General features: G+C 42.6%; 3 protein-coding genes and 1 pseudogene across 21 annotated transcripts in view, besides 7 other annotated features; 2 read left to right on the top strand and 2 right to left on the bottom strand.

The window, feature by feature from the left end:
* FHIP2A (FHF complex subunit HOOK interacting protein 2A) overlaps positions 1-3383 on the bottom strand; it is a 78053-nt gene extending 74670 nt beyond the window's left edge. For both annotated transcript variants that reach the window (NM_001135051.2, NM_020940.4), the window contains exon 1: positions 3040-3383. In NM_001135051.2, coding sequence (NP_001128523.1) covers positions 3040-3084 — 45 coding nt within the window. In that variant the 5' untranslated portion in view covers positions 3085-3383. The remainder of the gene's footprint in view (positions 1-3039) is intronic.
* LOC124902508 (translation initiation factor IF-2-like) lies at positions 2215-26783 on the top strand. 4 transcript variants are annotated; one of them, XM_047426127.1, is made up of 2 exons: positions 2215-3890; positions 26747-26783. In XM_047426127.1, the coding sequence occupies exon 1, from the start codon at positions 3062-3064 to the stop codon at positions 3665-3667; it is 606 nt and encodes a 201-aa protein (XP_047282083.1). In that variant the 5' UTR covers positions 2215-3061; the 3' UTR covers positions 3668-3890; positions 26747-26783. The 4 variants fall into 4 exon arrangements, with proteins under 4 accessions (XP_047282083.1, XP_047282081.1, XP_047282082.1 ...); XM_047426125.1 differs by lacking the exon at positions 26747-26783 and adding an exon at positions 24720-24862; XM_047426126.1 differs by lacking the exon at positions 26747-26783 and adding an exon at positions 17940-19045.
* Positions 2479-2979: an enhancer, noted in NCBI's record as "H3K27ac hESC enhancer chr10:116581943-116582443 (GRCh37/hg19 assembly coordinates)". NCBI's record gives its function as "activates a minimal SCP1, AML or CMV promoter by ChIP-STARR-seq in primed H9 embryonic stem cells {active_cell/tissue: H9 hESC(primed)}" and the evidence as "EXISTENCE:reporter gene assay evidence [ECO:0000049][PMID:30033119]".
* Positions 2685-2904: a silencer, noted in NCBI's record as "silent region_2848". NCBI's record gives its function as "represses an Ori minimal core promoter by ATAC-STARR-seq in GM12878 lymphoblastoid cells {active_cell/tissue: GM12878}" and the evidence as "EXISTENCE:reporter gene assay evidence [ECO:0000049][PMID:35858748]".
* Positions 2965-3314: a silencer, noted in NCBI's record as "silent region_2847". NCBI's record gives its function as "represses an Ori minimal core promoter by ATAC-STARR-seq in GM12878 lymphoblastoid cells {active_cell/tissue: GM12878}" and the evidence as "EXISTENCE:reporter gene assay evidence [ECO:0000049][PMID:35858748]".
* Positions 3325-3634: a silencer, noted in NCBI's record as "silent region_2846". NCBI's record gives its function as "represses an Ori minimal core promoter by ATAC-STARR-seq in GM12878 lymphoblastoid cells {active_cell/tissue: GM12878}" and the evidence as "EXISTENCE:reporter gene assay evidence [ECO:0000049][PMID:35858748]".
* Positions 13866-15790, bottom strand: TAF9BP2 (TATA-box binding protein associated factor 9b pseudogene 2; annotated as a pseudogene).
* Positions 13887-13936: an enhancer, noted in NCBI's record as "active region_4091". NCBI's record gives its function as "activates an Ori minimal core promoter by ATAC-STARR-seq in GM12878 lymphoblastoid cells {active_cell/tissue: GM12878}" and the evidence as "EXISTENCE:reporter gene assay evidence [ECO:0000049][PMID:35858748]".
* Positions 23260-23349: an enhancer, noted in NCBI's record as "active region_4090". NCBI's record gives its function as "activates an Ori minimal core promoter by ATAC-STARR-seq in GM12878 lymphoblastoid cells {active_cell/tissue: GM12878}" and the evidence as "EXISTENCE:reporter gene assay evidence [ECO:0000049][PMID:35858748]".
* Positions 23370-23569: an enhancer, noted in NCBI's record as "active region_4089". NCBI's record gives its function as "activates an Ori minimal core promoter by ATAC-STARR-seq in GM12878 lymphoblastoid cells {active_cell/tissue: GM12878}" and the evidence as "EXISTENCE:reporter gene assay evidence [ECO:0000049][PMID:35858748]".
* ABLIM1 (actin binding LIM protein 1) overlaps positions 23790-26885 on the top strand; it is a 370264-nt gene continuing 367168 nt past the window's right edge. For all 15 annotated transcript variants that reach the window (XM_047425242.1, XM_047425238.1, XM_047425237.1 and 12 more), the window contains exons 1-2: positions 23790-23859; positions 24872-24982. In XM_047425242.1, the coding sequence (XP_047281198.1) occupies positions 23857-23859; positions 24872-24982 (114 nt within the window). In that variant the 5' untranslated portion in view covers positions 23790-23856. The remainder of the gene's footprint in view (positions 23860-24871; positions 24983-26885) is intronic.

Raw genomic sequence — 26885 nt, 5'->3', positions numbered from 1 at the left:
GCCTATAGTCTCAGCTACTCAGGAGGCTGAGGCAGGAGAATCGTTTGAGCCCTGGAGGTTGAGGCTGCAGTGAGCCATGATCATGTCACTGCACTCTAGCCTGGGTGACAGAGACCCTGTCTCGAAAAATAAGTAAATAGTTAATTAAAAATTAAAAACCCATTTGAAGGCTTATCAATTAAATAAGGAAACCTGGAAAGTAATCATACCAAAATGGTTGGAAAAGCATTACTCCACAGACTGATCCAACAAAATAATGAAAAAAGCTCATGTCAGCATCCAGGTATTTTCTGTCTCTGTATAATCCTGATAACTATGTTAATTGGAATACTGCATCAGGAAATGCTAATTGGACGTACACATGAACAGGAACACACAGAAGAGCTAATGAAATGAACTGAGGAATGGTAAGATTGGTTCATAGAGGAAAATATCAAGCAAATTAATAAACAGAACTGAATAACTGGAAACTAACCTTGGGCTACGAAAAAACTATCCAAATACACAAGGATGGCTTATTCATCATTGCACATGAGTTCATTCCCAAGAGAGAATGTTAAAAGGGGGGAAAAAAAGGTTAGTATAGAACATCAAACATTTTTCATGAGATTTAACCTCCTATCAAGATAAGATGGGTGGTGCCACAAATGAAAACATTAGGTCTAAGCAAATGAAAACATTACACTTCTAAATGCAATGCATTAATTTCAGGACTAGGTGAACACAAGCCACTCTAACTTTTTCTCACTAACCTCAGCAAAGTAGGCTAAGGATATTACAGAGCAGGAGCCAGATAATTTGGCAGATGCTAATATATACAATTATAAAAAGATAACGAGGACAAGAAAACACAGGCCTCCGGATAAAAATGAGCCTTTACTAGGAGAGCAGGAAAGCCGTCTTTCTTTTTCTAAGTACTTATTTCTGTAAATACTAGCCTGATGGGTAAAGGATATAAATATAGTTGGTATCTGTAGGGGACTAGTTCCAGGACATCTCTTCCTACCCCTAAGATCTGAGGATGTTCAAGTCCCTGTTATAAAATGGCATATTTTCATATAACCTATGCATACCTGTATTCTTTAAATCATCTCTAGATTGCTTCTAATACCTAATACAATGCCTACACATCACTTCATTCACATGGATTCAAGGCAGTACTTGAATATGGCAAATTCAAGTTTTGCTTTTTGGAACTCTGCAGAATTTTTTTCCCCCTCAAATATTTTTTTACTTGAGTTTGGTTAAATCACAGGTGCAGAGCCTACGGATAAGACAGCTGACTGCAATATAGTAAATTTTGATTACCAAGTATCTCATTAAGTGTTCCCAAGTATTTCATATATTCAAGGTTAAAATGATTCGGGCCGGGTGTGGTGGCTCACACCTGTAATCCCAGCACTTTGGGAGGCCAAGGCGGGCGATCACTTGAGGTCAGGAGTTCGAGAGCAGCCTGGCTAACATGGTGAAACCCCATCTCTACTAAAAAAAAAAAAAAAAATTAGCCGTGTGTGGTGGCGGGTGCCTGTAATCCCAGCTACTAGGGAGGCTGAGGCAGGAGAATCGCTTGAATCCGGGAGGCGGAGGTTGCAGTGACCTGAGATCACACCCCTGCACTCCAACCTGGGTGACAGAATGAGATTCGGTCTCAAAAAATAAATAAATAAATAAATAAATAAAATTAAATGATTCTTGGTATTTTTAAAGAAAACAAAATTTAAATGTTTTAATAAACTGCAGTTAAATTCTTTCAACAAAAGTAGAGTGTGTATAAGCAAGTAAAAACTAAAAGTTGTCTTGAAGTCTACCACTGTCATTTCCCTCCGTGTAATACTGCTCTACATTTATGAAACCCTGTTTTTCCTGTTTGATACATTTTCCCAAGAGCTTGCCCTAGAGCTAAATTTTTTAACGCTTCTCATGTATCACTTAAATAACAATTGTACTAAAGTTTGTTTTTATTACTGAAGGCAAAAACTCCATTTTTGCCTGCCCATAAAAAATCATTGTTGTATCTGACATTTTTAAAGTGTACATTTTAAAGTGTCCTATCACATAATATGAACATAGGAAGAGAATGTCATGTTAAAAATTAGCAAAGTAATTGTTTCTGCACAGAATGCATTTTTCAATTTGGGCAGTTCTCCCAGAATAAAGTAAACAAGTGAAGCAACTAGCATTCTTACTAGAACAGTGACAAGGCATTTTCTTTTTAGTTTCTTTTCACTTATTAGTCTACTAGGATACTTGAATACTGTCTCTATGCTGGTGTCTAAAACCCTCAAAGGAGAGTACAATTGCAGGATAAACGAAGAGTGTCCAGGAAGAGAACTAGACAAGAAAGGAAACAGATGGTCTCTGGGCTCGGTGAGCTTGGAAGCTGTCGAAAGCAAACTCGACTGGACCCTCCAAACTCCTATTTCAGATCAATACATAAGGTTCAGCTGAGTTCGGCCTCCAGGCCCAAGAAAGCAAAAGCCAGCAACCCGGGGGCTGGTCGGCGGCTCCCTCGCCAGGGACGCCCCACAGCGAGACCATGCCTCTCCCACCTCTACCCCCGAAAACCAAAACAAAACAGAACCAAGCCCAAGCGGTGCTTGCTCGTTTCTTTTGTCTTGCTCAACGCTGACCACTTTTTTTCCGGAGAAGGTTAACGTTAAGGGAGCCCGGGGGAGCTCTCTGCGACCCCGCCAGGTGCTCCCCGAACCCCCGGCCCCATCAGAGGAATGAGGCGACCACCGAGCGGCGTTGGGCGGCCAGGTCCTCCCCGGCACCCCCGCCCCGGCTCCTGGAGGAGGGCAGGGACTGCCGGCCTGGGGCAGCCAGGGACCGACGGGACCCCCGCAGAGCCAGGCCCGAGGCCCCGGGCGCCCCCACGACCCGGCGGCCGCCCAGGGCGCCCGCCTGGGGCCTCACCCCAACCGGGGACAGGGCCGCCGAGGGCCGGGCCAAGGCCGCCCGGCTTGTCCCCGAGGCCGCCGGGGAGCGTAGGCCGCCGCCATCCCCGGCCTGCCGTGCGCCCGCAGCCCGCGGCCTTACCGCCTCCACGGCGTGCTGCAGGATGGAGGTGAACTTGGAGAACATCCTGTCCCGGGACTGCAGCAGCCTCTCCCGGGACGACCTGGAGAGCTCCTCGATCCGCCGCCGCCGCCCCTGCTGCGGCTGCCGGGGCCGCTCCAGAGTGAAGGCCGGTGCGGGGCGGGGAGGACGAGCTGAGGATCGAGGCAGGGCCTGGCCCGGCCGCTTCAGGTGTGCGCGGGCGGCTCGGCGGCTCCGGAGGGCGCCGGGACGCGGCGGGCGGCGAGGAGGGCGTTCGGCGAGGACTCGGGGCCCGGAGAAGCTCCGGCGGCGGCACCGGTTGGGACACGGTGGCAGCCCGGCTCGGGTTCCTTCCCCCCGCTCTGCCCGCCGCGGCCTGCAGGGGGCGCCGCCGCAGCCCGGGGAGGCCCGGCCAGGCCTGCCCTGCGGCGGGGCCGCTAGGCGCCGCGGGGGCGGGGGGCGCGCTGAGGCCTCGGCCTCGCGCGGGGCTGGAGGCGGCCTGTGGGCAGCCACCGCCCTCTCCCGGCTTTCTCAGGGCGCCTGGGACACCGGCTTTCTAACATTTTTACAGCTCAGCGATTCTCAAGAGTTTTGTTTCTCCAGTGGAAGTAACAGGCTGACTTTGTAGGGACACGCAGCCGTCCATATATGCGTATAGCATTCAGAGGTTCTTCCTGTAAGGACCGATTTGGAAGACTCGTTAAGAAAACAGTGTTCTTTAAGCAAACATTGGCAATGGATTTAAATGCTCAGATTTTGAAGAAATCAACGACTGCAGGTGAAATGGCTTTGCTAACTTTAAAATATATTATTATTCAACATTGAAACAGGAAATCCCACATGAGCACATGGTAAGACGGCTGGCTTAGTTTAAATAGCCCATTATAATATTTATATATAATATATAACATAATTTATTTGTGATATGGTTGATAGTGAGGTGTAGTGATTCAGAACAGCATTTTCTATTCAGTTATCAGATGATACCGGAAAACATTAGCGAGGGAAAGAATCTGAAAGGAGTCCAGTAAATGCCTAAGGCAGATAAATAGAGCTACAAGGTAAGCACTTGGGTGGAGGCTGCTTAAAATACTCCCTAACAGTGTATTAGTCAAGCCTTGAAGAAGCAGTTCAGGCTGGTAAAGTTTAGGTTGAGTTAATACAAATTATGAAAATATTTGTATCCTGAAGAAATTTGTTTTATGCTGGTATTGGCGTTTTACCAAAAGGTTCATTAAGTTCTTAAGATGAGGTGGGGAGTGAGTTTTGCACAACCAGTGCTGAAAATACGTATCTGGCCCAGGCGCGGTGGCTCACGCCTGTAATCTCAGCACTCTGGGAGGCAAAGGCGGGAGGATCACTTGAGGCCAGGAGTTCGAGACCAGCCTGGCCAACATGGTGAAACTCCGTCTCTATTAAAAATACAAAAAAAAAAAAAAAAAAAAAATTAGCCGAACGTGGTGGTGTAATGGGATTACATGCTTGTAATCCCAGCTACTTGGGAGGCTGAGGCAGGAGAATCCTTGAACTCGGGAGGCGGAAGTTGCAGTGAGCCAAGGTTGCGCCATTGCGCTCCAGCCTGGACAACAAGAGCAAAACTCCATCTCAAAAAAAAAAAAAAAAATACACACACACACACACACACACACACACACACACACACATACATGTATACACACACATACGTTTATACATACACAAACGTATATATACACATACGTATATATACATGTATACACACACACACGTATATATATCTGTAATTGATTCATGGAACAGAGAAAAGGTGGCTGTCATATGGAGTGGTGGTAACTGGCCAGGCTCTGGGGCTGGGTAGCCTAAGTCCCAGCTCTGCCACCCACAGTGGAAAGTTATTTAACTTCTTTGTGTTTTAATTTGCTTATATGTCAAAAGGGGAGAACAGTACCTACCTCTTGAGGTTGTTGTGGGAATTAATTAATATATGTAAAACACTTTAACAGTGCCCAGTCCCTAGTAAGAGATGCACAGACACTTATACTTGTTCTGAGTTGTGGTAGTGGTATTTAGCAAAATAATAGGGCCAGAAATCAGGAATTAAGGAGGAGATCTTAACTGGGCTTCTTTTCCCTCCTGTTTTTGTGGTTTATATCCCTGCGGTGCTCCTTGGCAGATAAATACGACCTTAATTTTCTACGTACTACCCCCAGAATGCTGGAGGCATCCTCTGTTGTTTTGTGCCCCTTACCAAATTCTGGCCGTGTCTGCTTCAACTGAGAGCATGTATGTATGCTTATTGTTATTATATTCATACACAGTTTAAGATGGTTAGTCATATTATTAACCATAATTAGTTTCATGATCTAATTATCATGCATTTATATGGCATTTTGTAGTTCCAAAATGCCTTACAACCACTAATTGTATGAGGAGGTCTTAGTTAGAGTTGTGTGTATTTGATGATGTCTATCTTTGTGTACTTATTATAAACACAATAAAATATATGTTTTGCTCTAGATTAATATCAATATTTAGGATGGTGATTCATCTACCTGCTGTCTAGGTTTCAAGACACACAAGTTGGACTAGAATTGTAACTGAGCAGATATTCCTATTTCTGATTGTCATCCTAGAATGCCTGCTGTGACTCTGACATCATCAATTAGCTCAATACATGGGCACAGTCGGACCTGCCCCAAAGCCTGTGATTTGAGAAAACACAAGAAAACCTTCCCCTAGCCTCCAAACCACTTAGGTGTGGGTACCTGAAATTTCTCAGTTAGAACTTAATGCCTTTATCCCTTTGGCTTAAGCCAAATAAGAAACTTAGTCCTTGTTAAAATGAAAATACTCTTGGGAGATGTAACACATCAAACTCTGTCATTCATTAGACTTCAGGGGGAATGAATTTGTTAAATCCTTTTCTAAAATGAAGTTTAATTAGTGAAGACACAGAAAAATCTAGAAAATTGGAACCCAGTTGGGATGGTGTTGAGAAAAGAGATAAAAATAAATCTTTTTTTAACTTTTTAATAATAGTCATTCTGACTGGTGTGAGATGATATCTCATTGTGGTTTTTATTTGCATTTCTCTAATCAGTGATATTGAGCTTTTTTTCATATGCTTGTTGGCCACATATATGTTTTCTTTTAAAAAATGTCTGTTCATGTCCTTTGTGCACTTTTTAATGGGGTTGTTTGTGTTTTTTTCTTATAAATGTGTTTAAATTCCTTATAGATCCTGGGATATTAGACCTTTGTTAGATGCATAGTTTGCAAATATTTTCTCCCATTCTGTAGGTTGTCTGTTTACTCTGTACAATAAACACCGATGACATGAGTTTTACCTATATAACAAACCTGCGCATGTCTCCCTGAACCTAAAATAAAAGTTTAAAAAAGAAAGAGAAATAGAGTTAGATGATACCTGCTTCCAAATTTTGGCAGACTTCTGGAATTTGTGAGTTGAACACATCAATTGTTAGCAACATTCCCTCCTCAAATCCCGCTAAAATGACAGTAAAGAGATTTTCCAAAGCATATGCCCAAAAGGATAAGTTAGGAGAGAACAGCAATAGCATTTTCAGAATTAGAAAGTAGCCATAAGATGGGTTAACTCTGATGTGGCCGACCTAAGAAAGCTGAATCCTAAGCCAACAATGAAGAAAGCCAGGAATCAAAAGTCATCCCTTGGTATCCTCCATGGAGGCTTTGTTCCAGGACCTCCCAAGGGTACCAAAGCCTGAGGATGCTCAAGTCCCTAATGTAAAATGGTGTGGTATTTGCATATAACCTAGGCATCAATCTCCAATATACTTTAAATTGTCTCTAGGTTTCTATAATACCTAATACAACAAATGCTATGTAAATAATTGATATACTTTATTGTTTAGGGAATAATGACAAGAAAAAACCTGTACATGTTCAGTACAGATACAATTTTTTCCCAAAATATTTTCAAAAGTCTTGAAAGAGGTTGCCTCTGTGGAACAGGAGATTGAGAGTTTGGGAGGAAGGACAGAAGCTTTCATAACACACCTTGTAAAACCTCTTAACTAAACCCTATGCTGGTGTAACACAAAGTTTGTTTGTCAAGGGGAGAAACTAGGAGCAGGAAACCATTTCTGATGCTTTTGTGTAAGTTTAGACAAGGATTATAAGGGTTCATCCCTGTAGAAATAGGAAGGAGATGGTAGTCTTGATAGATGAGATGTGATCAACCAAATTTTCCAAGTGATAAAAGGAGTGATTTGGTGAAGTGAAAGATGTTGCTGGAGTTTCTAGCTTGGAAGAAGTTAGTTGAAGATGCCATTAATTGGAATAGGGACCATGGAGATGTAGAAAGGTGATGAGATGGATTTTTTAATATGTTAGAATTTGATTATCTATACAATTACATCTATGTGGAGACATAGAGTATTGGGTGATGAGTTTGAATTAGGAAGTAAAGAGAGAGATCTGGGCTGATAATAAAGATTGGAGGATCATTTCTTTCTTTCTTTTTTTTTTTTTGAGATGGAGTCTCACTGTGTCGCCCAGGCTGGAGTGCAGTGGCGCGATCCCGGCTCACTGCAACCTCTGCCTCCCAGGTTCAAGCGATTCTCCTGCCCCAGCCTCCCGAGTAGCTGGGACTACAGGCGCCCGCCACCCTGCCCGGCTAATTTTTTGTATTTTTAGTAGAGACAGGGTTTTACCGTATTAGCCAGGATGGTTTCGACCTCCTGACCTCATGATCCGCCTGCTTCAGCCTCCCAAAGTGCTGGGATTACAGGCGTGAGCCACCGCGCCCGGCTGGAGGATCATTTCTTAAACATGGTAATGGAGATATAAGAAAAAAATGAGGTAAGTTTAGTGAGATGGTGTGGTTGAAGGAAAAAGACAGAATGGATGCAAACTTGAGGACTCCCTGCATTTAAAGAGTAGGAAATGAAAGAAGAGCTCATTTAGAAACAGCAGTCAGAGATAGGAAAACATATAGTAAAGAAGTTCAGGGAGAAGTGAGTTTCAAAAATTGAGAGGCTGGTTCAAGGTATGATGATAAATTAGCTCAGTTCTGCAGTTGCCACAGAAACAAAAGGGAAGCTGGTGGATCTCAGAACCTTTCATAAAAACCGTGACAACCCTGGTGTTCAGTGTCATATTTTCTTGGTGTGTTCTGTGCATGTTCAGACCCACCTCATGGTGACAGTGTCTCACCTTAATCCCATGATCCCTTTGTAGAATTTTTGCCACTGGAAATTCTCTGTATAGACAAGCCTGCTCTTTCCAAAAGCACAATGGAGTTAGCACTGCAGGGGCAATTCTTTTTTCTTTTTTCTTTTTTTTTTTTTTTTTGAGATAGAGTGTCACTCTGTCACCCAGGCTGGAGTGCAGTAGTGTAATCTCTACTCACTGCAACCTCCGCCTCCCGGGTTCAAGCGATTCTCCTGCCTCAGCCTCCCAAGTATCTGGGATTACAAGTGTGTGCCACCATGCCCGGCTAATTTTTGTATTTTCGATAGAGACAGGGTTTCACCATATTGGCCAGACTAATCTCGAACTCCTGACTTTGTGATCCACCTGCCTCAGCCTCCGAAAATGCTGGGATTACAGGTGTGAGCTACCATGCACATCCTGTAGGGGCAATTCTTAGCCAATAGGGGATGGAATCTGATGGATAAACACTGCAGTGCCCTGTCTTCCTGGTGGGCAATTGTGGGAAGCAAATCTAGAAAGTGTCCGGAATACTCTTCAGGAGGTCCTGTGGGATCAGTACCCACTGACCACAATGGTGACCTCGTACGCTTTTTCTCCTTTGCTCTCATTCTCCTTACTTCCTCACTCTGTGATCTGCAGTGAACTTCCTACAGTTGAGTCTTTGTCTTAGGCTCCAATTTTGAGAAAACCCACTATGTATGGGAGTTGGAGTGGGAGAAACTTAGAGGGAAAGGCTGAGTGCCACAAATTGGATATAGGCTAAGGAAGATACACCAGCACTGCCCCCTGCCCCCACCACAGGCTAGGAAATTACAATAAAGGAAGCATCTCCTGGAAATGAGCAGTGCTGCATATCAGAAAAATCCCAAATAACAGTGGCTTAAGGAAGTTTCTTTTTCAAATAAAAGAAGTTTGCCTTGTAAGTAGTCATGACTATAGTGTGACAAATCCATGAGATCATCACAGAGCCACACTCTTAGCTTTCTGCACCACCGTCCAGTGCTGTCACACTCAGGATCACTTCATGGTCCCATGTAGGTGCTAGAGCTCTAGTTACCACTTTTAGGGCAGTAGTAGGAGGAAGGAGACAAAGGAGGAATTACCTTCTTCCTTTGAACAAATCCATTCTGAAAGTTCTACACTTCTGCTTACATTTCATTGGTCAGAACTTATGTAATCATACATCATGGTTAAAAAAGAAAGCTGGGAGATGAAATGTTTAATTCTATGTAACCACCAGAAAAATAAAAAATACATAGTATAACTTTCAAATTTAGTACAAAAATTTTTACTCAATCCAATGTACTATAATAAAGAAGATAAAAAAGATACTAGAAAAAGAAGCCTGATGCTAGGCATGGTGGCTCACACCTGTAATCCCAGCACTTTGGAGGCCGAGGCAGGAGGATCGCTTGAGCCCAGGAGTTCAAGACCAGTCTGGGCAACATAGTGAGGCCCCATCTCTATTTCTAAAAAAAGAAGCCTGGAAAATAAACACAAAATAGGTCTTTCTAATATAATAAATGTAAATGAGCTTAACTCATCAATTAAAAGGCAGAGATACATACATTAGATTTTTAAAATGACATTTTCTAGAAGAGACACATTTAAAAGGGAAGAGAAAGGCTGAAATCAATAAATCAAAAAAGATATACAGAGAACTATAATCAAAGAAAAACTAGAATAACAATTACATCAGACAAAATAGAGTTGAAGATGTAAAACATCACAAGGGATAAAGACAGATATAGCATACTAGTAAAATAATAATAGATCAAGAAGACGTAATGTTTATGGTCATAAACATGTTTACTAATATAAATGCAAAATTTATAAAGCAATAACTGACAGAACTGCAGAGGGAAATAGATGAATAAACTATTATTTTTAGAGTTTTTAATTCACCCCTCATATAATCAGACAGATCAAACTCAGGAAAAAAGCAAAAATGTGGGTTACTTGAATAACATGAGTAATAAACTCAAAGTAGACATTATGGAGAAATTTATACACATCAAAGAAATCACATTTTCAAGCATACAGGGAATATTTACAAAGTTTGATTATGTATCAAGCCACAAAGGAAACCTAAGGAAATTCTAAAAACACATTCATTTTTTTAACAAAATTAATTGAGCGAAACATACACCTGCCCACACAAATGGAAGTTATATCCTAGTGGGAAAAATCAATAACAAACACAAAATTGCATGTAGTGATAAATGCTATGAAGAGAATAGAATAAGGGGATAGAAGATGATTTGGGGAAGTGTTATTTTAAATTAGGTGGACAGGTAAGTCTTCTCTGAAGAGGTGCTATCTGAATGAAGCTAGGACATTAGCTGTGTGAATAGGAAAGAGATGAGCATTTCTGACAGAAGAAGAGTGAGTGCAAGTGTCTTGAGATAGGAAAGAGTTTGACATGTCTTAGGAAGGCCAGTGTGGCTGGAGTAGATAAGTGATTGAGGAGAAAAATTAGTTGAATATACGGGTAGAGAGTAAGCCATGTCAGATCATGTAGAGCAGTTTATTCTCAATGCTATCCAAAAGTCCCCTTTTCTTAATGTAAAAATATCAATGGAAGTGTAACAAAATACACAGATTCATATATGTACAGCTTTATGAATTTTTACAAAGTGAACCACCTGGGCACTCAGCACCCAGATCAAGAAAGAGAGGATACCACAACCTTAGAAGCCTCTTTGTGCCCCTTCCTGGTCAATTACGCTTGCCATGGGTTACCACTATTCTGACTTCTTTATTTTTTATTTTTATTTTTGTATTTTTAGTAGAGATGGGGTTTCATCATGTTGGCCAGGCTGGTCTCCAACTCCTGACCTCAGGTGACCCGCCCACCTCAGCCTCCGAAAGTGTTGGGATTACAGGTGTGAGCCATTGTGCCCAGCCCTATTTTTTATTTTTTGATTTTATTATTTTTTCTCTTTTTGTGCCACATCTCACCTGGATATTCTGACTTCTAACACCATAGATTAATTTGCCTCATCTGTTATATCTCATTATTATTATTATTATTATTATTATTATTTTTCAAGACAGAGTCTCAGTCTGTTGCCTAGGCTGAAGTATAGTAGCACGATCTCAGCTCACTGTGACCTCTGCCTCCCAGGTTCAAGCAATTCTCATGCCTCGGCCTCCCCAGTAGCTGGGTTTAAAGGCATGCACCACCACGCCCGGCTAATTTTCGTATTTTTAGTAGAGACGGGGTTTCGCCATGTTGGCCAGGCTGGTCTCGAACTCCTGGCCTCAAGTAGTCCGCCTGCCTCAGCCTCCCAAAGTGCAGGGATTGAAGGTGTGAGCCACCACGCCCAGCCTTGTTTTGAACTTTATATAAATGGGATCATATGGTATGTATTTTGTCATTGTCGGAGGCAAAGTTCTCAGAGTCAAGTTTATTAATATTGTGGTTCTGATCTTCTGTATCCTTAATGATTATTCGTCTGCCTGTTCTATCAGCTTTTGAGACGTGTGATTGGCTCCCACTCTGGTGGAGCCACTATTGTGACTTTTTCTACTTTTAGTTATGCTGATTTTTGCTTTATATGTTAATATTTTGAAGCTATGTTATGTGTATGTTCAGATTTTGACTTTTGGTCTCTTCCTGGTGGATTGACCTGTTTATTCTTATGTATGTGTGTCCCTTTTATGATAACAATGCAATTCAAGCTTTTCTCCTAATGGTTTGGGTCCAAGGAATCACAGCCTGCTGAGTGCTCGCTGAGGGCAAAGGGATGTGGAATGAGTGATAGAAGATGGTGTATATGGACCAGGCACGGTGGTTCACGCCTGTAATCCCAGCACTTTGGGAGGCTGAGGCGGGCAGATCACCTGAGGTTGGGAGTTCGAGACCAGCCTCACCAACATGAAGAAACCCCGTCTCTACCAAAAATACAAAATTAGCCGGGCATGGTGGTGCATGCCTGTAATCCCAGCTACTCGGGAGGCTGAGGCAGGAGAATCGCTTGAACCTGGGAGGCAGAGGTTGCGGTGAGCCAAGATTGTGCCATTGCACTCCAACCTGGACAACAAGAGTGAAACTCCATCTCAAAAAAAAAAAAAAAAGAATTAAAAAAAAAAGGAAGGTGGTATATACTAGCTATGACCATATGACCACATGACCAGTTGTAGAAATGAGAGCTAGTGCAGTTGTATTTCTTCCTTATTTTGATATGGATATGTTTGTATATATACTTTTTTTAATTTTTAATTTTTTGTAGAGATGGTATCTCACTATGTTGCCCTGGCTGGTTCTGAACTCTTGGGCTCAAGTGATCCTCCCACCTCAGCTGCCTAAAGTGCTGATATTACAGACATGAGCCACCATGCTTGGCCTGTTTGTATGTAGAAACTTGCAATGATCTAGAATGCTCCATTTCATTACCCTGAAATGCATCAAAGCTAGACCATAGTTTTTACATGTGGTAGAGTAGTTGTCATTGTATTTTTTTCAAAAACTTGTTTTCTTCCCACTCTTATTTCCCTATCTTCTCAGTATTTAAACTACAAAATATCAAAGGGAGAGTATGAATTAGCTCAAAGAACACCCAAAGACCAAGAGAGAGATTTTATAGCCTCTTTTGGAAAAACAGTTGATGTGTTGTTAATTGTACACAAGATAGTTGTACTCTGTTAAGTAGAAGCCCAAATTTTGAATTGTCTTCATATGGAAATTGTGATTTAAAGTGATACATGCCAAGATGACAAATGCTGGACTGTGGAGGTTTTGTAATGTGTTGATCTGATTAGGCTGAACTACATTTCCCATAATTCCCTTCCCTATGTTTCCAGTTAAGGGTGTGCCACAAGAGATGTACTTGTGTGAGATTTGGAGGACAGAGTGGAGGAGCAACTATATCAAGAGTATTGTTTTTTGTGCTCAGAGGCTGGGGAAAGGTCTCCAGGTGCTTTTGTGGCCCATGCATATTGTTATTTTATCTGCTGGCTTATCTCCTTGGTGTGGGGCAGGAAGCAGGCTGCAGCTGTTCCATCTTTCGCTGGGTCTTCCCTCAGCTTCACTGACTCCTCATCTGACTGTGTATCCTCAACCAGATGTGTGTTTATCTCTGTGACAAAGAGCACCGGGTTCTCCTGCAGGATACCCACATCATGAAGGTTGGAGACAGAGAGAGCCTGAGATGGGTTCCATCTTGTCCTTGCTGCTTTGCACCCCCTGACAGCCTTCTTCCCAACTGCCTGCCCTGCAGACTTCAAGCTGCAGCATTAGATATGAAGGCAACAGCCTTCTAGACTTTATCAGCCCCCATTACTGCGTGTGGTCAAATCCCGGTAATAAATCCACCTGCACATGTGTGGTCCTAATAGTTCTGAATCTCTAATTGAATATTGACTAACATAGACCTATACAAAATGGTAAAATTGTATTTAGGGAAGTGTGATTTTTTCCTTCCATTATTCCTTCTGTTTTTTTTTTTCCACTCATACCCTATAAAACCAGTGTCATAGGTTTTGGCAGTTACGTTTAAGTTTTCTAAGATACAGCTTGAGGAGATCTAGCGTCCTTCATTTTATTACCCTGAAATGCATCAAGGTGAGACCATAGTTTTTACATGTGGTAGAGTACTTATCATTGTATTTTATTGAATTTTCTTTTCAAATGGATTTGAGTCATCCATTGCATTTTATCCTGAAACTATGTTGATGGTGATAAGAATTTTTGGGTCCCAATATTAGGTGGCTTAATGAGAACAGTTTTGAACTGCCATTGGCTTAATGAGAACAGTTTTGAACTGCCATTGTTGCAGGAAGTGACTTCACAGGTGTGGACTGTGAAAGTGAAATCTATACTGTGAACTTTCGAATTGATGCTGTCACTGTTTAAGGAGCTATGGTACAGATAACAGGAGTAGTAGGTGTGCTACTAGCAGCACTGACCCTTAGCTGTGAAACTGATCTTCAGAATGATCCCTTTTAAAGTGAGGACTTCAGTCTGTAGTTTGGAGCTATTAAGCAGTATCTGTCAGGTAACAATCTAGGTTCTGCATATGGCTTAATCAATAAATAAAGGGGTTTGATTTTTCCATCTTGTAATGGTTAAGAAGTCAGGCGGTTCCTAAGCAGCAGGGTGTTGGGAGGCTGATAGGTTTGCTTGTCATACTTCCATAGATGTGGCTGGGAAGGAAACAAGTCCAAGGGGGAATTAGAAACTTTATTACTTGGGTCACAGCAGGAAGTATGAGCTTTCCTCTGGTTTGCATGTGTGCCCCCAAAGTTCATGTGTTGCAAACTTAATCCCCAGTGCAACAGTGTTGGGAGGTGGGGCCTAATAAGAGATGATTAGGTCATGAGGGCTCTGTCCTCATGAATGGATTCATGTCATTATTGCAGAAGTAGGTTATTGTCAAAGTGAGATTATTATAAAAGGGAGTTCAGGCCAGGTGCGGTGGCTCACGCCTGTAATCTCAGCACTTCGGGAGGCTGAGGCGGGCGGATCACTGAGGCCAGGAGTTCGAGACCAGCCTGGCCAACACGGTGAAACCCTGTCTCTACTAAAAATGCAAAAATTATCTTGGCGTGGTGACACGCACCTGTGGTTTCCCAGCTACTCAGGAGGCTGAGACAGGAGAATTGGTTGAACCCAGGAGGCAGAGGTTGCAGTGAGCTGAGATCGTGCCACTGCACTCCAGCCTGGGTGACAGACCTAGACTCTGCCTCAAAAAAAAAAAAAAAAAAAAAGGATTTGGAGTTCAGCCCTTTCTCTCACACTCTCATGCTCTCTTGCCCTCCCACCTTCTGCCATGGGACGATGCAGCAAGAAGGCCCTCGCCACATGCTATTGTCTTCATATTGAACTTCCCAGCCTCCAGAACTATGAGAAATAAATTTCTTTTTAATTAATTACCCAGTCTGTGGTATTCTGTTGTAACAACACAAAACAGACTAAAACAGGCTTCATGCTTCCATCAGTTTCCTGTGCACTCAAGTCCCACAGGAGTCAGTGTGGATCAACCTCAGGTAGATGCCACATACACAAGTTTGTGTCACAACTGAGAAACACTAAGCATAGGAATCCTCCAGTCTTATAAGGGGGCTGCTAGCAAACCTGCCCATCCTCCTCTCTGGAGAGAGACATTATCTTTAAGTATTCTGGAATGTAAGCACATCTTGCCTGAGGAGAAGGAAACTTTTCTATCCTGGAATGTCTCTGGGTGTCTCTATCTCTACTATCCTGGTCAGGAAACACATCGGCCCTCTGACCTGGAAAGAGACACTATGCTACACACACATCCTCGTAAAGCTAGTCCAGGGTAAGTTGAAATGCCATGGAGAATTGGCTGCCAAAAGTAATATCTGGTAAAGAATGTCTTGGGGGGAGAAATAGGTCTTCGCAACACTGGGTCACTAGTCTCACATTATCTCCCTCGAGAGGAGGTTTCTTAGGATGGCTTGAATAAATTTTTGCATAGTCTAGAATTGCAGACACATATTGGAAGGCAAACTCCAACACTTGATTTATTACTCTTTATTTATACTCTGTGATTCCCATATCCTTTGGAGTCTGGGCCATCACCAAGGCATGGCTTGGAGTGGTCTTGGGAAATTGCAATCTTGCTAACCTCCATGATCTGGCAACTGCTCTAGTAATGTTTTAAAATAGTTTTAAAATTTCAAAACAATTTAAAAATTATAATAGAGGTGTAAATACAGTTCAAAACACCTGAACTGTTTGAGGGTAAGCTGCTGACATTATGTCTATCACTCCTATGTACTTTAGTGTGTATTTCCTGCAAACAAGAACATTCTTTGACGTAACCGCAATGCAATTATATTAGTTTCCTGGGGCCATCATAACAAATTACCACAAACCTGATGGCTTAAAAAAACAGAAATTTATTTTCTCATAGTCTGGAGGCCAGAAATCTGAAATGAAGGTGTCAGCAGGGCTGTGCCTCCCCTAAGCCCCAAGGCTCCAGGGGAGGATCCTTCCTTGCCCATTCCAGCTTTTGGTAGCTCCAAGCACTCCTTGGCTTGTGGCTGCATCGCTCTAATTTCTGCCCCCCTCTTCACGTGGCATTCTCATCTTGCGTCTTCTCTTCTCTGTGTGTCTCTTATAAGGACACTTGTCACTGGATTTACAGCTCACCTAGATAATCCAGAATGATCTCATCTCAAGATTCTTAAGTTAATTACATCTGCAAAGATACTTTTTTCAAATGAGGTCACAGGTTTCAGAGATTAAGATGAACACATATCTTTTCGGGGGCCACCATTCAACGCACTACAATAACCAGCATCTGTGTATTGAAATCAGTATCAATGTTGAAATTGCTGTTATCTGATCTGCAGACCCCACTTCATATTTCACCAGTTGTTTCAATATCCTTTATAGTAAAAGGATCCAGTTCAGAATCCCATGGTATATTTAGTTGTCATGCCTCTTTAGTGTCCTTCAGTCTGGAACAGTTTCTTGGTCTTTCCTTGACTTTCATGACTTGACATTCTTGAAGATTATAGGCTGGTTATTTTGTCAAATGGCCTTTAATTTAGGTTCCCAGTGTTTTCTCATAATTAGATTCAGATGTGCATTCCTGGAAGGCCTATCAGAGAGAAACATTTTCTTCCTGTACATCCCATCAGGTGGCACCTATTTTCTTTCCTTCTTTCTTTCTTTTTTTGAGATGGAGTTTTGCTCTTGTCACCCAGGCTGGAGTGCAATGGCATGATCTCAGCTCACTGCAACCTCTGTCTCCTGCATTTGAGCGATTCTTCTCAATCAGCCTCCCAAATAGGTGGGATTACAGGTATGTGTCACCACACCTGGCTAATTTTTAAATTTTTTTTTTTTAATTTTTAGTAGAGATGGGGTTTCACCATGTTGGTCAGGCTGGTCTCAAACTCCTGACCTCAAGTGATCTGCCCTCATTGGCCTCCCAAAGTGCTGGGATTACAGTCGTGAGCCACCACACCTGGCCACCTATTTTCAATTTGATATCTTGGTTAAAGTGGAGACCGCCAGACTTCTCCACTGTTAAATTACACTTTTCCTATGTATGTAAGTATCCTGTCCTTTGTCAAACTTTCAATTTAATTCTATCACTACGGACTTACAGTTTCTTGTTTTAATCAAGGGGTTATAAACCGTTACTATTATTTTTTCTTCTTTGTCATTTTTTTTTTTTTTTTTTGGAGATGGAGTCTCTCTATGTCACCCAGGCTAGAGGGCAATGGCTCAATCTCAGCTCACTGCAAACTCTGCCTCCTAGGTTCAAGCAATTCTCCTGCCTCAGCCTCCCTAGTAGCTGGAATTACAGGTGCATGTCACCACACCTGGCTAATTTTTTTTTTGTATTTTTAGTAGAGATGGGGTTTCACCATATTGTCCAGGCTGGTCTCAAACTCCTGACCTCAAGTGATCTGCCTGCCTCAGCCTCTCAAGGTGCTGGGATTCCAGGCGTGAGCCACTGCACTCTTCCTCTTCTTTGTCTTCATGTTATTATTTGATATTCAAATTTTAGCCAGTGGGAGTCCCTCCAGGATGGCTGGCTTTTTTTTTTCACATGTCACCATCCTTCTTTGAGCATTTTCTTGCTTTCTGGCAGAAGACATTCCAGTCTTATTTCATACTCTTCATGAATCACTATAGATCCATATCTGTGACCATCTCTTGGCCCAGAAAAAGCAAAACAACCAAATGTACTGTTTGATGTTTTGCCCACTGGGAGGATTTTATTTCTCTCTTCTTTTTTAAGGACACTCCTTGGTGTTGAAACGTTGCAGGAGTCCTCTTCTGGTTGGTGCCAGCATGTCATGAAGCAGTATCTGTAAACCAGGCCTTAGTTTTTTTCCTCTTAGCTGATGAAGAAGAATCCTCTCATGAGACCATAGGCATGGACTGAAGGAGAGGCAGCAAGACCTCAGGAGTAAGTGTTGTAAGATATTGAGTCACTTGCTCATGCAACTTGTACATTCTGAACCTACTTGAGCCTAATTTCTTATATGCTGTTTCCACTGAATGAAGGATTGCTGTTATCCATATTCAACATTATGCTTTGGTGGGTCAGATACCAGTGTTCATGATGGCAGCTTGGGTTGCACGATTACTTAATGTCCCATATTTAGGCCTAGTGGTAATACAGGAGCTTTTTCTCAAAATAGGAATCATTATAGTAGAAGAGGGTGTGGCTTTGCTCCAGAGACCTGTGGACCTTCCTACTGGGGTTTGTCATAGACTCCATATAACATCCCTGTATGCCACAGACACTGAGCATCACTGGCTCTGTTGAGTCATCAAGCCCAATGGGCAAGGCAGCCTGCATTACATCCTGGATCTACTCCATAACCTTCTTTTGCTCTATTCTCTACTCAGAACCAACAGCCTTATAGGCAACTGGGAAAATGGGTTGGAGTGGCGTACAATAATAGCACATAATATCTCCAAAAATTCAAGAAAGCCCTCAAATCATTGTGTCTTCTTTTTAGTAATACACAATACGAGGTATAGTAACTTATATTTCATTTTGAAGGAGATATCCTGACGTGTTCCAAACCACTGAATCCCTAGAAATTCAGCGTAGGCCTTGGAATACCCATGGAGGTTTCCTTCAACCCTCTGTCTCTAGTGTGCCTTAATAAGACATCTAAGGTGTTTGCTACTTTCTGCTTATTAAGTCCAATCAGAATAATGCCATCACTTTGCTTATTAGGTAAAATTAGCATAATGCAGTAGATCATTGTGACGTTCTATAGAGTGTCAAGATGATCGAAATTTCTGCAGACGAGATTAAAGCTGACAGCAGGAGGCTGGGCAAAGTGGCTCACACCCGTAAATCCCAGCACTTTGGGAGGCTGAGGCGGGTGGATCACTTGAGGTCAGGAGTTCAAGACCAGCCTGGCCAACACGGTGAAACCCTGTCTCTACTAAAAATACAAAAATTAGCCAGGCATGGTGGCTCATGCCTGTAGACCCAGCTACCTGGGAGGCTGAGGCAGGAGAATCGTTTGAACCCGGGAGGCAGAGGTTATAGTGAGTTGAGATCATGCAACTGCACTCTAGCCTGTCTCAAAAAAAAAAAAAAAAAATGCTGACAGCAGGAAAGTTGGCATAGCCCTAAGATAAAATCATAAGATGCCCCTAAAAACCGTATTTCTTCTAGTGGTCCTCGCAAATTGGTAATAGAGAATAAAAAGCACTTGCCAGAGCAATAGCTACATGCCAGGTGCTGGGACTCTGTTGATTTGCTTCAATAAAGAAAACAGAGTAGAACAACAATTGAGGTTGGAGTTACCACTTGATTAAGTATATGATTATTCACAGTCATTTTCCAAGACCTATTTACCTTCTGTATAGGCCAGACAGTGAAATAAATGGGAATATAATAGTAATCACCAGACCTGTATCACATCTTTAATTTTTGCATAAATCTCTGCAGTTACCTTCAGGGATGCAGTTTTGCTTTTGGTTTATGATTTTGATGGGAAGAAAAAGTTTCAAGGGCTTCCACGTCAACCTTCCTACCATAACAGTCTTTACTTCACCAGTCAAGGAACCATTGCAGGGATTCTGCCTGTTGCCAAGGATGTCTATTCTAATTATACAGCCAGAGACTGGGGAAATCACCATAGGATGGGCATGTAGATGAACTTAGGCCAAAATACTATTTATTACATGAACATTGTAAGTTCACCACTTTGGTGGAATACAGTATTATTATGGATCTTCAAGAAATGGTATCAGTTTAGGGCTAGTGTCTAGAATTTCTCAAAAGACTGGGGTGTTCTTTCTCTAGTGTATGGTAACCTTAGAAAAATGTCCACAGGCCCCTTTGGGAATGACTTGGAGGAAGGTGTATAGTATATTCCTTTGACATTTTTGTACAGTCTTTCCTCAAGAGGACCTAGCCTCCCCATCACTCAAGAGACCCTGGATTCAAGAGCTGCCTAACATCTAGAAACTTGGTAAGAGGCCAAGACTTTAATGTAATTTGACTCAGATTTCTAGCCACCAGATCTAGAGTTCTTACTGTTGTATTGATCAAGTGATACTTCAGTAGGCTGACCATTTATTTCATTCCTAGATGTATCATGATCCATAGTCTGCTAGATTAAGACATTTTGATTATATTCCAGTACTTTCTGCTGTCATTACAGTTATTTCCTCTACCATGTTTCTGTTAGTTAAGTGCTTCCACTTGGCCTGTATCTCTTCTGAATCCCATCGTTTCCACTCTCTCATTGGCAGCCTGTCCTACTATCATCTCACCATCATGGAGCTTTTCAAGGATGCTTGCTCTCACTTCATTAATGCATTTCTTATGGCAAATGAACAGAGTGCCTTCTTAGCCTTCCAGAAGGATATAATGGGGGATGGATATGCATGTTGCAAATGATAAACGAGTTTCGCATTCTGTTCCTCTGATCTGTGGGTACACTCCTCCATGTCTATGCCAAGGACATTCTAACAGGTCAACTTTTAGAACGTTGAGCCCAAAGTTCAATCAGTCAACCAAGCAAAGTGTTAGAGCCGCTTCCAGCTGTGCTAGTTCACGCACCTTAAACCCAGAATCTCTTGTAAATGCATTCATGTGAGTACATTTGATATGATCTAATTTTATGTCTTTCCTTTTCGAGTACACTTGTCAACTTCATTTCTAACATATTTCCTAGGTTTTCTCTACATAATTCCCAGTCTCTCTACATATTAGAAAAATCTGGAAATTCTTTCAGCATATAAGCTATGTCTTCCTGGGTTAAACTTAACACTCATCTCCTTAGAGGATCCTGATATTTGACTCCAGTTATGAGTCTAGAGTCATTCAGGGGTGGTCAGGGGGGGTCTTGAGAAGGATAGGCATCTCTTTGCAAGGCGTCTTCCCTAAGCTATACAGGATCTTTAAGGAAACCTCTTCTCCTCAGACACACAGGAGGGTAGACTGTTTCTTTTTCTTTTTCTTTTATTTTATTATACTTTAAGTTTTAGGGTACATGTGCACAATGTGCAGGTTTGTTACATATGTATACATGTGCCATGTTGGTGTGCTGCACCCATTAACTCGTCATTTAGCATTAGGTATATCTCCTAATGCTATCCCTCCCCCCTCCCCCCACCCCACAAGTCTTGCTCTGTTGCCCAGGCTGGAGTGCAGTGGGGCGATCTCGGCTCACTGCAAGCTCCGCCTCCCAGGTTCCCGCCATTCTCCTGCCTCAGCCTCCCGAGTAGCTGGGACTGCAGGTGCCCACCATCACGCCCAAATGATTTTTTGTATTTTTTAGTAGAGACGGGGTTTCACCGTGTTAGCCAGGATGGTCTCGATCTCTTTACCTCATAATCTACCCACCTCGGCCTCCCAAAGTGCCGGGATTACAAGTGTGAGCCACCGCGTCCGGCAGGAGGTTAGACTGTTTCTTCCTGCAAGAGAGGCTTGGAGAGACTTGGGAGTTAAAGATTTTCAACTTTGTTCAGTTACACCAAGAGGACCCCATTCCAAATCTCTGGTCTACTCCCTCTGAATGTCATAAGTATAACATAAGACAGCATGTCTTATGACAAGTCTGTGAATTCAACTGAAGTTATCATTTTGCAACCCAGACGACTAAATTTTGAGTCTGATTTTCAGTAAGTTTGACTCTATAGCTATAAAAAAAGATAGTAGATTATCTTAGGGCCACCATGGATCCTCTGTAGTTCTTTGTGATTTGAGATGAATCTTTTTTTTTTTGAGACAGAGTGTCATCCTGTTGCCCAGGCTGGAGTGCAGTGGCCTGATCTTGGTTCACTGCAACCTCCACCTCCTGGTTCAAGTGATTTCTTGCATCAGCCTCCCAAACAGCTGGGATTACAGGCACCTGCCACCACACCTGGCTAATTCTTGTATTTTTAGAAGAGATGGGGTTTCGCCATGTTGTCCAGGCTGCTCTCAAACTCCTGACCTCAAGTGATCCACCTGCCTCGGCCTCCAAAAGTGCTGGGATTACAGGTGTGAGCCACCATGCCTAGCCTGAGATGAATCTTTAAAATCCTGGTTTTAAGCTGGGTGCAGTGCTGTACACCTGTAATCTCAGCTACTCAGGGGGCTGAGGTGGAAGGATCCCCTGAGCACAGGAGTTTGAGGCCAGCCTGGACAACGTTGCAAGACTCCATTAAAAAAAAACAACAACAAAAAGCAAAACAAAACAAAACAAAAAACACTAACCCTGATTGTGTTATTTTTTTTTCTGTATTCTCTTTAGTGTAGTCAGAAGCAGCGAATCCACCCCATGATTCTTACAGTCTTTATTACTACCATAGCCATCAAGTGCCATAGCCACTTGGTCTTTCAAGCCACTTGTTTCAGTAGAAACTTCACACAAACCACTACAGGTGATAATTTAGTTCCTCATATGCCCTGCATATCTGCAGACCATTAGATTCCAATTTCCAATTTCCAATTAACAAAGAGTTCAGTACTGCTTTCAAAGTTGAAGACATAACCAAACAATCCTAAATCCCATTTTTTGAGAGTTTATTTCCTGGGAGTACTCTATCACCAGGTACCACATTGGTTAGGGTGTACTCAGGAAACAGAAACCACACTAGTCATTTCAGCAGAGAGAATTTAATATAAGAAATGTGTTATGGGCTGAGCGCGGTGGCTCATGCCTGTAATTCCAGCACTTTAGGAGGCCGAGGCAGGTGGATCACTTGAGGTCAGGAGTTTGAGACCAGCCTGGCCAACATGGCAAAATGTATTTTTATTTTACACACTCACACACACACAAAGAAATTAGCTGGATATGGTGGCTTGCACCTGTGGTCCCAGCAACTCAGGAGGTTGAGGCAGAGGATCACCTGAGCCCAGGAGGCAGAAGTTGCAGTGCCACTGCACTGCAGCCTGGGTGACAGAGTGAGACCCCATCTCAAAAAAAAAAAAAAAAAAAAAAAAAGAGTTCCATGGGATTTTTGCTTAAAAAAAGTGACAGGCAGACATCAAGGTCCAGAAATCATAAACTTCCAGGGGAACAAAGGGAAGAAGAGAAGTTTGTGTTTTTTAGAAACTAGAGGCTCGGCGGAGGGTCCCACAGAGCCGGGACTTAGATCCCTGAGGAAGAGGTCCTGCCCTGCTGGTACTGGTACCTCAGAGGGGGCACCTTAAAGCTAATTTTGGAAGTGCCAAAAAAAGTGAGAGACTAGAGCCAACACTGCACAGAGGAAAGTGCTGTTGCTGAGGTAACACTGATGGGAACAGCATAGAGCAGGAGAGGCAGTCCCGGCTTCTGCCTTCTACTCTAGCACCCGCTATGGGCAGAACCAAACAGAGAACTACCTGGCAAAAAAGGAACAGTTTGCAGGCTCCCAGACCCGGACCACAAAGCAGAATTTACAAGGGTGGATTTAGAGCTGGTGGAATACAATTATGAGTGTTTTAACACATAACTACAGAGACTCAGTTACAGTAAAGGATGTGGTGAAACAGATGTTTATATGTGGAGTCAGCATGTCTATAGGTGGGGCAGCTATAAATACGGTTGGCCGTTAAACAACATGGGTTTGAACTGTGTGGGCCCACTTTTATGTGGATTTTTTTCTGCCTCTGCCTCTCCTGAGATAGCAAGACCAACCCCTTCTCTTCCTCCGCGTACTCAATGTAAAGATGACAAGGACCTTTGTGATGATCCACTTCCATTTAATACATGGTAAATATATTTTCTTTTCCTTATGATGATCTTGGTTTTAAATTTTTTTTTTAATAGAGACAGGGTTTTGCTATGTTGTCCAGGCTGGTCTAGGACTCTTGTTGTCAAGTGATCCTCCCGCCTCAGCTTCCCAAACTGCTGGGATTACAAACATGAACCACTACCCCTGGCATCATTTTCTAAATGATATTTCCTTTTCTCTGGCTTACTTTATTATAAGAATGCAGTATGTAATGTATATATACCATACAAAATGTGTGTTAATCAACTGTTTGTATTATTGGTAAGGCTTCTAGTCAACAGTAGGCTATTAGTAGTTAAGTTTCAGGGCAGTCAAAAGTTTTATGTGGATTCTCTTTTTCTTTTCTTTTCTTTTTTTTTGTTTTTTATTTATTGAGTTGGAGTCTTGCTCTTGTCACCCAGGCTGGAGTGCAATGGCATGATCTCGGCTGATTACAACCTCCACTTTCTGGTTCAAGCAATTCTCCTGTCTTAGCCTTCCAAGTAGCTGGGATTACAGGCATGCGCCATGCCTGGCTAATTTTTGTATTTTTAGTAGAGATGGGGCTTCACCATGTTGCCAGGCTAGTCTCAAACTACTAATCTCAAATGATCAGCCCACCTTGGCCTCCCAGAGTGCTGGGATTACAGGTATTAGCCACCATGCCCAGCCTTATATGTGGATTTTCAACTGTCCCTTAACCCCCATGTTGTTCACGGGTCAACTGTATTCAGGTATGTTATACTGGTGATGCAAATAATAAGAGTGGTGTTGCCAAAAATAATATTATTTTCCAAAGTAGTGAGCAACTTTTGGTAATATTCCAAAAAATAATGTACCATTTCCCCTTAATTTACAGAATGGTGCATTCCTGGAAATTGTATTGCATATTAAATACTCACCTAATAGTAAATGGTTTCTTCACCTACATGGATATCCTGCCAGAGATGTAAAAGTTATATAGGACAAGAGAGAATTCTTACTTTTATAGGACTTTCCTGTATATTACAGGATGTCGAATACTGTCTCCTGAATCCTATAGTCCTCCACAAATTTCCAAAACATCTCCTAGGATATGGCAGTATCCTCTCCATTAAGACTGTCACAGGATCTTACCATCAGGTAAGGGCATAGGAATTTTGGATATTATTTTGAGTGAAACTAGAAGCCATTTGAGGGTTTTGAACAAACACACTCAATTTTTTTTACATTAAAAACATTATTCTGGGCTGGCTGCGGTGACTCACACCTGTAATCTCAGCACTTTGGTAGGCTGAGGCAGGTGGATTGCTTTGAGCTCAGGGGTTCGAGACCAGCCTGGGCAAAATGGCAAAACCCCATCTCTACAAAAATACGAAGATTAGTCTGGTGTGGTGGCTGATGCCTGTATTCCCAGCTACTCAGGAGGCTGAGCCTGGAGAATCACTTGAGCCTGGGAAGCAGAGGTTGCAGTGAGCCAAGATGATGCAACTGCATGCACTCCAGCTTGGACAACAGAGTGAGACCCTGTCTCAAAAAAAAAATCATTCCAGATGATGCCATGTGGCAAATAGACTGTGGGAAAGGCAAGAATGGAAGCAGGGAGTCCAGATAGGGGGCTCACATTATTTCAGTAAGAAGTGATGGTGGCTTGACTAGTGGAGGAAGTGGTGATAGGCAGTTGGACTCTGGATATATTTCAAAGGTAGAACAGGTGGGAGTTGCTGAAAAATTGGATATGAATGAGGAAAGAGCAAGGCAAAGGATGATGCTAAGATTTTTGGCCTGAACAACTGTGAATGGTGGAAAATACTGGTAAGGAGTGGATTTTTGGAGGGGGGGATCAAGAGTTCTGTTTTCAATCTGTCAGATGCCTATTAGATATCCAGATGGAGATGCTGAAGAGGCAGTTGGATATACCAGCCTAGGGCTCATGGGAGAGGTCAGTGTGGAAATATAAATGAGAAAGTAGTCAGGACCTAAATGGAATTTTAACTACATGAACTGGATGCCATCACCAAGGGAGTGAAGAGGTGATCACATTCCTTCATAGGAAGAGAAGAGGTTCAAGGAATGACCCAGAGGTACTCCAAGATTTGGAGGCTGGGAATTGGCAGAGATGCCAGCATAGGAGAGTAACATTGACCTGCACTATGTTTTCTGACTGTAATACAATAATAATTGCTAGTGCCGAGCCTATTTTAAGCACTTAATGTATACTGTACTGGCTGGACACAGTGGCTCATGCGTGTAATCCCAACACTTTGGGAGGCTGAGGTGGGCAGATCATGAGGTCAAAAGATTGAGACCATCCTGGCCAATATGGTGAGACCCACCCCATCTCTACTAAAAATAAAAAAACTAGCTGGGCTTGGTGGCACGCACCTGTAGTCCCAGCTACTTGGGAGGCTGAGGCAGGAGAATCGCTTGAATCCAGAAGGTGGAGGTTACAGTGAGCTGAGATCGCGCCACTGCACTCCAGCCTGGCGACAGAGCGAGACTCCGTCTCAAAAAAAAAAATTAATTAAAAAAAATACATATATACTGTACTACTACTATCTTTTGGTTTGTTTGTTTTTTATAGAGACAGGGTCTTGCTTTGTCACCCAGGCTGGAGTGCAGTGGCATGAGCATAGCTCACAGCATCCTCGAACTCCAGGCTCAAGTGATCCTCCCACCTCGGCTTCCCAAGTAGCTGGGACTATAGATGTGCACCACCATGCCTGGCTAATTTTTTTTTTAAATTTTTGTAGACATGGGGGGGGGGTCTCATCATCTTGCCCAGGCTGGTCTTGAACTCCTGGGCTCAAGCAATCCTCCTGCCTCAGCTTCCCAAAGTGCTGGGATTACAGGTGTGAGCCACTGTGCCCAGCCTGTACTACCATGTTGTTTTTTTTTTTAAAACAGAGTCTTGCTTTGTCGCCCAGTCTGGAGTGAAGTGGTGCAATCTTGGCTCACTGCAACCTCTGCCTCCTGGGTTCAAATGATTCTTCTGCCTCAGCCTCTGAGTAAGTAGCTGGGACTACAGGCGCGCACCACCACACCC

The sequence above is a fragment of the Homo sapiens genome, chromosome 10, assembly GCF_000001405.40.
Source record: "Homo sapiens chromosome 10, GRCh38.p14 Primary Assembly".
Lineage (NCBI taxonomy): Eukaryota > Metazoa > Chordata > Mammalia > Primates > Hominidae > Homo > Homo sapiens.
The sequence above is the reverse complement of the archived record's forward strand: the minus strand, read 5'-3'. Positions and strand labels throughout refer to the sequence as shown.